General features: G+C 41.8%; 1 long non-coding RNA gene across 2 annotated transcripts in view; it reads right to left on the bottom strand.

The window, feature by feature from the left end:
• The window catches only part of LINC02987 (long intergenic non-protein coding RNA 2987), a 231,539-nt gene that overhangs the window by 44,095 nt on the left and 175,676 nt on the right, over nucleotides 1–11,768 (bottom strand). Inside the window, exon 6 of one of the 2 annotated variants that reach the window (NR_146734.1) lies at nucleotides 10,351–10,470. The exons of the other annotated variant lie outside the window; for it this stretch is intronic. This is a non-coding gene — a long non-coding RNA (long intergenic non-protein coding RNA 2987). The remainder of the gene's footprint in view (nucleotides 1–10,350; nucleotides 10,471–11,768) is intronic. 2 annotated transcript variants of the gene reach the window in all.

Genomic DNA, 11,768 nt, shown 5'->3' with positions numbered 1-11,768 from the left:
GAAATACAATATTTTATTAAATTATTACACCTATTAATAGAGGTTTAGTTACTGAAGATAAGCATAGGCCTACAGGATATGGATCTTCTTAGTTTTTTTTGTTTATTTTTTTTAAATGACTGAACAGCATACCCTTTACAGGCACAGCACATTTTCTTAAGAGCAGCTGCTCAGTTTAACTGATATTTTGAAGGAAAATATATTCCAACAAGACATGAAGATGTTGAAGAGTTTTAAGAAAAACCCAATAGACACTCATTTTTAAATGGTCCAATTTACAGTCAAAACAAGATTATTATGCATAATCAACAGCAGGGAGACAAGGTAAATGTATATTCAACACTTTGTTGTAATGCTTTCCAGTTTCCAAAGATCATAAACAAAAGCAGCCTTTGCAGAGCATAGCTTCTGATGCTTCCACATTCACAAACAGCATTGTGTAGAACTGGGTTTCTTACAGCAGGCCTCTGACACCACTGCCCCTGGAGCTCACGTCTGTGAGAACTTGCACATTCCCTGACCTTGTAACTACAACTAGAGCTCAGCCAGCTTAGTTGCAAGTTTTGAGAATAATTTAGCTGCAATTATAGCAAAGCTAAGTGTTCATAATGACAAATTTTGTTTCCTTTGAGAAATCAGTCTGCAGACTGATGACAGTAGTGATCAAAGTCAGTTTAGTGTCTGCAACTTTCAAAGTACTTCTGTTTCAAATTAATTTTCTGTCACATCTTTTGCTAAAATGGCTACTAGCAACATCACCATCATCACTCGTTTATACTATCAGCAAAGTGGTCATTTTCACCAACAGCCATTTCAACAGCAACCAACAGTCACTAGTCTTTTGTTAGTCACAACATCCTCACTTCAATTGTATATTATGCACAGTGTAGTAATTCTGAATGATAGCCTTTTTTTGGCGGGGGGGGGGGGGGGGCGGGGGATGAAGTCTCGCTCTGTCACCCAGGCTGGAGCGCAGTGGTGAGATCTTGGCTCACTGCAAGCTCCGCCTCCTGGGTTCACGGCTTTCCTCAGCCTCCCAAGCAGCTGGGACTACAGGTGTCCACCACCATGCCCGGCTAATTTTTTGTATTTTTAGTAGAGATGGGATTTGACTGTGTTAGCCAGGATGGTCTCGATCTCCTGACCCCATGATCCGCCTGCCTCGGCCTCCCAAAGTGCTGGGATTACAGGCGTAAGCCACCGAGCCTGGACGAATGATAGTCTTTTTTAAAAATTGTGCATACATTATAGCTTTATATATTCATAGGGTGTATAGGATATTTTGATACAGGCCAACGATGTGTACTAATCCTACCAAGGTAAATGAAGTATCCATCACACATTTGTCCTTTGTGTTACAAATAATCTAATTATAATCTTTTCATTATTATTAAATGTACAATTAAATAATTACTGACTATAGTCACCCTGTTGCGCTATCAAATACTAGATCTTATTCTAAATACATTTTTGTACCCATTAACAATTACTTCTTACTCCCCATCCCCCATACTACCTTTACCAGCCTCTGGTAACAATTCTTCTACTCTCTATCTGCACAAGTAAAATTGTTTCAACATTTAGCTCCCATAAAAAGTGATAACATGGGAAGTTTGTCTTTCTGTGCCTGGGTTATTTCACTTAACATAATGAGTTAATACTCCATTTCATTATACTCCATTTCCATCCATGTTGTTATTGCAAATAACAGAATCTCATTATTTTTTAAGGCTGAATAGTATTCCATTGTGTACATGTACCTTTTCTTTATCCACTCATCTGTTGATGGACACTCGGGATGCTTCTAAATCTTAGCTATTGTAAATAGTGCTGCAACATACATGAGAGTGCAGGTATCTCTTATCTCTGATATACTGAGTTCCATTCTTTTGTGTATATAGCCAGCAGTGGGATTGCTGGATCATATTGTAGCTCTATTTTTAGTTTTGAAGACCCCCAAACTGTTCTCCATAGGGGTTGTACTAATTTACATTCCCACTAACAGTGTACGACTGTTCCCTTTTCCCCATATCCTATCCAGTGTTTGTTATTGCGTGTCTTTTGGATAAAAGTAATTCTAAGTGAGGTGAGATGGATGTCTCACTGTAGTGTTGGTTTGAATTTCTGATGATTAATAATGTTGAGTATCTTTTCGTATATCTGTTTGCCATTTGTATGTATATTTTAAAGTTTTGAAACAGATCCTCACCCTATTACCCAGGTTGGAGAGTGGCACAATCACAGCTCACCACAGCCTTGACCTCCTGAGCACAGGTAATTTTCCCATCCAGGCCTCCCTTGTAGCAGGAACCAGAAGCATTTTCCATCAGCAGCTAATGTGTCTTCTTTTGAGAAATGTTTATTCAGATCTTTTGCCCATTTTTAAATCAGATTATTAGTTTTTTTCCTACAGAGTTGTTTGCACTTCTCATATATTCTGGTAATTAATCCAGATAGTTTGCAAATATCTTTTCCCAGTCTGTGGGTTGTCTCTTCACTTTGTTGTTTCCTTTGCTGTGCATAAGCTTTTTAACTTGATGTGACTTCATTTGCCCATTTTTGTTTTGGCTGCCTGTGCTTATGGAGTATTAAAAAATCTTTTTCCAGTCCAATGTCTTCAAGAATATTCCTAATCTCTTATTTTAGTTTCATAGTTTGAGGTCTTAAATTTAAATCTTCAATGCATTTTGATTTGATTTTTGTATAAGATGAGAAAAACTAGTTTCATTCTTCTGCATATGGATATCCAGTTTCCCCAGCACCATTTATTGAAGACACCATCCTTTCCCCATTGTGTATTATTGGCATCTTTGTTGAAAGTGAGTTCACTGTGGACTTATGGATTTGTTTCTGAGTTTTCTCTTCTGTCTCATTGGTCTATGTGTCTGTTCTCATGCCAGTGCCATGCTGTTCTGGTTACTATAGTTGTAGAGTATCATTTCTATTCAAACAATGTGACTCCTTCTGTTTTGTTTTTTTCGTTTTTTCCTGAGAATAGCTTTGAATATTCTGTGTCTTTCGTGGTTCCATATAAATTTTAGGATTGTCTTTTCTATTTCTATGTCTATGAAGAATGTCATTGGTTCTTGCAGATATGTAGAGGTAGCACATTAGTGATCTCGGATTTGATCTGGAAGAATTCTCTGCATTAGCAGCCAGAGACTCATTTCTTCTCTTACTTTCCCCCAAACAAAAAGAGTCTCTCTGTGCTGAGCTTTCTGGAGTTCGAAGATGAGTGATACAAGCACCCCTGTGGCCACTACACCTAGGACAGCACTGGGTCTGATCTGAAGCCCACACAGCACTGTTACTGCCCAAGGCCTCTACTGTAACAACTCCCTGGCTGCCAGCTATTTTGCAGTAAGCCCCAAGGCTCTACAATTAGCAGGTAGTGAAGCCAGAGAACCTTCTGTCCTTCACTTAAGTGTAGTAAGTTCCCCCGGCCCCTGGATGGGTTCAGAGGTGCTGTCTGGGGGCTAGGGCTGGGGTTATAAACCTTAGAAATCCACCTGGTGCTCTGTTTTACTGTGACTGAGCTGGCACTAAAACCATCAAACACCTTTCCACTCTTCCTTCCCCATTACCCAGGCAGAGTAGTCTGTCCCCATGTTCACCAGCATCACAATCCCCTGGGGTGTACTGCCAGGTCACCACTGATGTTCACTAAGGCCCAAGGGCTCTCAGTCAGCTTGTGGTGAATGCTGCCTGGCCTGGAACTCACTCGTCAGAGCAGTGGGCTCCCTTCTGGCCCAGGGAAAGCCCAGAGATGCCATCCAAGAGCCAAGGCCTGAATCAGGGACCCCAACAGCCCACTTGGTGCTTTTCTCCACTGTGGCTGCTCTGGTGTCTAAGCTCAAGACAAAGTCCTCTGTACTCTTCCCTCAGATTTTCTCAAGCAGAAGTTGTCTCTCCTCATAACCACCACAGTTTGGAATGTGCTGGGTCACACATGAAGCCAGCAGATCTCTGAGGCTCACTAAAGACCCATGACATGTACTACCTGCTTACCACTGCTGATTATTCAGGGTCCAAGAGCTCTTTAGTCAGAAAGTGATGAATCCTGCCCTTACTGATTCCTTCCCTTCAAGGCAGCAGGTTCCCTTCTGGCCCAGGGTTTGTCTAGAGGTATTATCCAAAAGCTAGGACCCAAAATGGGAGCCTCATGACTCTGACCAGTGCCCTCTCCTACTGTGGCTGAGCTAGTATCCAAGTTGCAAGACAAAGTCCTCTTTACTCTTTACTCTTCTCAAGCAGAAGAAAGAGGTCTCTGTCAGAGCTGTGAGCTACACTGCCTAAGATTGAAGGAGGGGTGGTACAGCACTCCCTGGGCTGCCCCATCTGCTGTCTCTCTAGGTCACATGCCCCCCAAATACACCGGCTCCAAGCCCAGCACAACACTCAGACTTGCCTAAGAGTTGCGGTCCTTGTGGCCTAGACAGTCTTTCAAGTTTATTAAGGACCCCAGAATACTTTATCCCACAGCAGTGAGGCTTTCCACAACTCAGTTTTCAGCCACTGGGATGGGTGATTCCCTTCAGGCTAGGGCTAGAAATGTTCCATCCGTGGGTGGGCACTGGCTGAGTTCAGCCCAGTTTTGCTTTCTGCTATGACAACGCAGCACTGAGTTCAATGCAAAGTCTCACACTGCTGTGCTCTCCCTTCCCCAAGCATGCAGATTCTCTTCTTGTCACATGGCCAATGCTAGGACATAAGGGAGGGCTGGCATCAGCAACTCAAGACTGTCTTTCCTACCGTGTTCACTGCCTTTTTCAGTGATACAAAGTTTAAACCAGGTACTATAATTATTTAGCTATTTTTAGTTCTAATAAAGGTGTTTTTTATTTAGATAGTTACTCAATTTGTTATTCTTATGAGGAGAACAATTGGCAGAGACTTCTAATCAGCCATCAAGCTCTACTTTTGTGATCACATACATTCTGGATGGCAGTCTTATCTGGAGTAACGGGCAAATGTAAAAAAACAAACTCTTGCCACTGCCTGTCATGATATTGTTCTTCATATGCTGCTCAACGACAGCAACAGGTGTCCCTTTATATTTTCTTAAGTGTCACCCATATAGCTATTCTCACTGTCCTGTGGACATTACTAGAGTGTTTGGTGGAAATGCTTCCCTAGCTCACCCTGCTTACAAGCTCCAAGGCTCTTCCCTTTACAACAGTCGTAAGGCCAGACTGGAAGAAAGCCCCCATGAAGCCCATGTTTCAGTATCATGTTGGCACCGTCTATGAGCAACCCCATGACTCAGCAAGATTTCTCGCACTCTCCTTGGTAACTCAAGTCCCACAGATTGCTGCTGTGGTTGTATGAGTGCCCCAGGAGCCTCTTGAGTGTGGTGGGCATTGTGTGATGCCTGGGCAATTTTTTGCATACTGCCTCAAGGAAACACTGGAGCAGCAAACTCATCAACCCAATTTCTAAACACATGCAACACTCCTAATGGGGAGGGCACAGGGATCTGTGGCTATTCTGCATCTCAAGTTTTCTATAAAAAAACAGACATTTAAATATAAGGGAGAAAACATCAGCAAAAGCAAATACACAATGTGTGACTGAGGCTGAGGCTATAACTTCTCCATAGTCCAGAGGCCCTAGACCTTAAGAGTGGCCAATTATTTCAACAGCCAGACATGTGTCCCTTAAAAAGAGACTGGAACTTACAGACAGCTTCTAAAAAGCCATAAAGATATTTACTGTGCTATGGTGTTCTGGTAGTGCACTTGTGAAGTATTTGCCAAAAACCACCAGAAAAATACTTTTCCATGTATGAGCAGAGCAGATTATTACAACAGTAACTCACCAAGACCTACCCATTAACAGTGAAAAGATATGAACTTTTATACTAAAGCTGGATATAAAGAAGTATGTGGTTTTATGTGTTTTCCTTATCTGCACACTGTAGCCTTTAAAAATATGTCTTAAAGTGTTACATTTATGGGAGCAAATAAGGTAATGAAAATGGTTAGAAAGTTCACAAAAACCTTAGAAACTCACATGTCTTTAATGCTAGTGTTCACAAAGAGCCTGCAGTATTCCCTATTCCATATAGTCACATCTTTCCAAACTTTGGAGGTGAGAAGAATGGCTCCCATGACAATCTCTTCCAGTTGGTCGGGCAAAGGTCTATCTCCACATAACTTAAGAGTCTTTCTATGTAAATATGCAAAATAGAGCACTGGCCTTTGATTTAGTTCACTTTAAGTGCTCTGATAAGAACTCTTTTGAATGACAGATTTCTTCTGGTTTTGACCAGAAAGTGTCTTTTATTCTTATGCTCTACATACTTTGCTTGGTCAGGCAAAGCAAGAGACCACATTACAATCATAGGTCAGATACTTCTGCTGCCTACTCTGCCTATGGGAATTTCCAGCCCAATTTCGGTGACAAGAATGCCTGCATATGTCAGCCAAGGCCACCATGAAGAGAGGCAGTGTCATCATCTTCACACTCATAAAAGGCAGCACACACTAAGGACCAGTGTGGATTGAAGTTGTTCAGGAAATACTCAAGTGCCTACCAAATGTAATGTCTCATACTTAGCTGGGAGGTAGATAGAAATTCTACAGGCATGTCAAGCTTGAATATATAAAACCCATGTGATAGTGAGCAAATGTTAATCTCCTTTTCACAAACACTAACCCTTTTGTGGTGCTAGCTTAAAAAACTGCTGGTCAAGAGAGCCTCCCAGTGGCCGCTGTGCAGAGCAGCATGGCAGGTGCAGGTCTCAGGGGTTGTAAAACATTCTCAGTATTCAGTTGCTTGATAAAAAACACATGTGTATAAAAGAATGGCCCTCCTCTCAGCCCCTATTTTCCCATCTTCATGATCACTTCATGAAAATTTATTCTCTCTTACATCCTGCAACTTAGTCAATTCTGTTGGTTTAAAGGTGGAAACAGCTGCCAGTTTCTGCATCCCTGGGATTCCTCTAAGCCTGCCGAGTAGTTTGTGAGACAATCTCATGAATTAGCACATGTTTGATAGTTTACATTTATCAAACATCTGCTTTACAAAGAATTGGGCAAAGTGAACAGCTGAGTAAAGATTAAAGGTGAGCTGTGAGGAGGTGTTACCTCAGAGGGTGCTCTGCAGAAGAGTATGTCTGCGAGCTACCTGAACTCTTTATGTCAAAACAAAGGGAAAAAGTTTATTTTATACGAGTTTATTTCTTGTCTGAAGGTTATGATCATCAGCTCAGATGTAGAAATGTTTTCCCCACTGATGCCAACTTTTCTCAGTGCAGTTGATCCCATTCCACTTTTGCAGAACACTGTTCCTACAATCACCTCTTTTTGAAGATTTTGTGCCTCTCTACTAGCGATTTTCCCCAATCTAACTGTGTTTCCTTTGTTCCCATCTCACTCCCCACTACTCCTCCAGCTGTGTCATCTCATTGGTGCTCACAGCACCATGCCCTCATGCCAGCTCCTCATCTTCCATCTCTCCTTAATGTACACTGCCTGCCCCACTGACATTACTCTTCCAACACTTCTCTTGCCTAGGTTTCTGGTGCCTTCACACTTACAAACTGGAAGTCTCCAGCCCAACAGTCAACCCCCCAAGCCTTTTCTAATCTTGTACAGGACATTGCCATCTGCCTAGCTGCTGGGGCCAAATACCTGCATTTGAGTTACCCTTCTGCAATGTCTCCAATGCCTGTTATGTCTGCCTTCACTGGTAGTCTGCCTGGGTTGATTATGAGCCACAATCTCTCATTGCTCACCTGTATCACTCTAATTGCTTTTTAGCCCTCTTCTCTGCCTCCAATCTGCCTCCCAACCATGGCCTACTTTCCCCAAAGCAGTCACCATAACCTCTTTATTAACAGCACTCACTTCCCTGCTCAAGATCTACATGAGTCCCCTATCAAACTGGAATAAAACCTTAACATCTTCCTATGGCCTGAAGCCAAAAGGCCCTGTGAGCTGTGGCCCTGCCTGTGTGGCCTTATCTCCACTGCTTCCCTTATTCCTCACTCTGACCACACTGGTCACCTTGCTGTTTGTTCTGTGAACACATGTGAAACACATTCCTGTCTCTGCTGCCTGTAATGCCAGCACTCCTTCCCTTCGTTGCTTTGGGCAGGTCACTGTTCAAATGTTGGCTCTCTAGAGAGACTCTTCCTTATCATTCTATCTAAAGTACTGAGCACCCCGACACTCTGAATCCCTTTATCCAGCTTCCTCTTCCTGCTATTTGACACTACCTGAAAAACTACTTGTGTCTCACTAGAACATAAGCTCATAAAGGCAAGAACTGTATTCAACCTGTCCTCCCTTCTACCCCAGCACTTAGAAGAGTGACACAGAGTCAGTATCCAGTGAGTGTTTATGGAATGAGTCACTTCTCGGCAGCATTCAGCACTGTGACCACAGCATCTTTTAACTCTTTTATTATCCTTTCCTGCTTTTCCTCCTCCCATTCTAGCAGCTACTCCTCTGGGGGCCTGTCCTTTACTCACTATAAGTCCTTACAGACCTATCGTCTCTCAATTTTCTTTACCTTTTTTAAGACAGGGTCTAACTTTGTTGCCCGAGCTGCAGTGCAGTGGCATGATCATGATTCACTGCAGTCTCCACCTCCTGGCTCAAGTAATCTCCCTGCCTCAGTCTACCATGTACCTGGGGCCACAGGCATGTGCCATAATGGCTGGCTAATTTCTTTCTTTTTTTGTAGAGATGGGGCCTCACCTTATTGCCAAGTCTATTCTAGAACTCCTAAGCTCAAGCAATCCTCTTGTCGTGGCCTCCCACAGTGCTGGGATTATAAGGGCGAACCACCACACCTGGCTTTATGTTTTCTTTTCTCAAGATATGGGTTCTCACCATGTGGCCTAGGCTGGACTCAAACTACTGGGCTCAAGTAATCCCCCCCAGCTCAGCCTCCCAAGTAGCTGGGACTAAAAGTATGAACCCACCATGCCTGGCTTGTCCAATTTTATTCTACACACTTACTCTGCATTTGAACAGCTGCTATTACTCTTCACTCTGCATCTCTACCACAAATTCATGCTCTAGTCCCATATATCCAAATGATGACTAGACACTGCTACTCTGCTATCTAAAAGGCACATCTAGTTTAGCCTGAGTACAAAACTCTCCCTTTTCCAATCCAGCTTTCCCCCCAGCATCATCTATCTGTCTAAATCTGGAAGCACCACTCCTGCTTCCCTCCAGCATGTGCTGAGAGTTCCAAATGACTTGCAGCTCCTCGAAAAGGCCTGTGTCTGGTCCAGCACCCATTGAGGGCTTTGACTCAAGTGCACATCAGAAGCCTTCTCTCCTAAACTCTAATTGAATGGTAAATAAGTAAGTATTGACCTAAGTATTCTTTCCTTCCCAGCCATGCAGTTGACTTTCCTCTATAGGTTGGCTGTGAAGAGGGGTAAAACAATTTCAACAATTTGAATAGAATTTATTATTAACATTTTTACAATAGGAATTCTGTAGGGATGATGTAAATGTAAGGAAACAGCTATGGCTTGGAAGACTAACGAGCAAAGCTTGTGTCCCAGGCCTACTGGAACCACATTCCTGGGCAATTTCATAAGCAGGCACAAGTGATCAGTAGGGGTAGATTAAGACTCATGGCCCAAGGAACAAAGACGACACGGCAGCAGCTGTCAATCACAGCCTGCATGAGAACTGCCTGAGGAATGCAGCCTGGGACTCAGCTCAGAGCTCCACTGGAATCCGTCTCCTTACTGCTCCCCATCCCAACACCTCCGCCTGCCTTGCATGTGTGTACACTTCATATGCACTGATGTGTGGGGGGGAAATCAGAAATCTCTCCCGCTGCTTTTAATAGCAATGGTTCTATTATGAAAAACGCAATGGCAACATTTTAAGCTGTAATGATGATACAACTCGAATGTGTGTATTTACTTTGCTTTCATAAGTTTCTCTTAAAGTTTGTATAATAATTTCAGAAGCAAACTTTTTTATTTTATTTTATTTTTTAGGCAGAGTTTTGCTGTGTCACCCAGGCTGGAGTGCAATGGGGAGATCTTGGTTCATTGCAACCTCTGCCTCCCGGATTCAAGCAATTCTCCTGCCTCAGCCTCCTGATTAGCTGGGATTACAGGCATCCCCCATCACACCTGGCTAATTTTTATAATTTTAGTAGAGTTGGGTTTTCGCCATGTTGGCCAGGCTGGTTTCAAACTCCTGACCTCAGGTGATCTACCCGCCTCAGCCTCCCCGCAAAGTGTTGAAGTTACAGGTGTGAGCCACCACTCCCAGCCCAGAAGCCAACTTTTATTTAAAAACAGCACCATACCCTGTGTACAAGTACCAACTTCTAAAAATGCTTTATAAATAAGAAATATCTTACCAAAGTTACTATTGCAAATTCAGCTGTTAGGTTTGTGGCTTTAAAAAGAACATGGACAAATCTGTAAATAAACTTGTGTTCAGGAACATACTCAAAGTATTCCTTTGGCATCTTTTCTTGCTGAAAGAAGAAAGGATGTGATGTAAGTATCCGTTGGAAAAAAAAATGAAGTATTCTTAAGACAGCAATATTCATACTTGTGCCTGTGTGTCACTTAGAACAATTTGGATTGGGGAGATGTCTTTTAGTTTCTAAAATACGAACAGTGGAATCTTAAGATACTATAATGATTCAATAGTCATCAACATTCAGTGAAAAAAATGGGCTCAAGCTCAGAAAATTTTTATGTTCCTTTCTACTCTTTTTCCCATAGAATTCTATAAAAATGTAAACTACTTTTAGGCTTTAAAGTCTTACTTACTGACAATAATTCATTCTCCTCTGCAACAAACTTTGAAAAAACACATTTAGTTTTCTGTAGCCATAAGGCTCTAAGGTTGCACTATTCAATACAACGGTCACTAGCCACATGTGGCTATTATGTACCTGAGGAAGTACACTTTTAATTTGTACACCATTTATTTAAATTTACATTGTTTTTTATTTCTATTCACAGAAATCATGTATATGTGTTAAAGGCATTTACAAAAATGTTTATTGTTTGATGCTACTGACAATTATCTTTTTAAAAGATACATTTTCTGTTATTTGGATTATATATTTACTCTCATTAGCTCACTAATTAACCAGAGCTGCAGGTCATTTCTTATTCCAGCACATCCTTTTTATAACAGTTCTTAAATAAGACGATTAGATGCAACATGGCATGGGGAAGAATACTTAAAAATGTCTTTGACTTCAGTGTGAAACAAACACAAGTCTATGAGAAAAATACGGCCTCAATAAAAGTGATACAGTGAGTGGATGTAATTGCTCGTCAAACATATCGAGGGATTTATCTGCATCTCTATAAAGTAAAAATGTGCATTTAAGAAATTAATTCAGAAATGATTAATATATTTACTAAACATATCTGTTTAGTAAAATAATGCCTCCTGTGTGTTTTGCTGTTTTGCTTCACCAAGGCAAACTGTTTTACAAATCCTTCTCCCGGAGCCTGACCTTCAGAGGGTCTCCTGGACTCTTCTTACTCAGCACATCAAGTCCTATGAAGTCTTTTATTACAGTAACCAGTCAGAATTGCCAGTAAGTACTGACCCTCCCTAACAGGCCATGGTAATGAACCTGTTGTATTTTCACTCCTCTAACCTGACATTGGAACACAAGAATGTTTTAGAAAGCAGTAGTAATGGGCAATAAAGTCTTTAGAACTTTAGTAAATGTGAATATGGCCGGGCGCAGTGGCTCATGCCTGTAATTCCAGCACTTTGGGAGGCCAAGGCAGGCAGATCACGAGG

This window comes from Homo sapiens, chromosome 19 (assembly GCF_000001405.40).
Source record: "Homo sapiens chromosome 19, GRCh38.p14 Primary Assembly".
NCBI lineage: Eukaryota > Metazoa > Chordata > Mammalia > Primates > Hominidae > Homo > Homo sapiens.
Note: the sequence above shows the minus strand (reverse complement) of the source record. Positions and strands in the feature narration are given on the sequence as shown.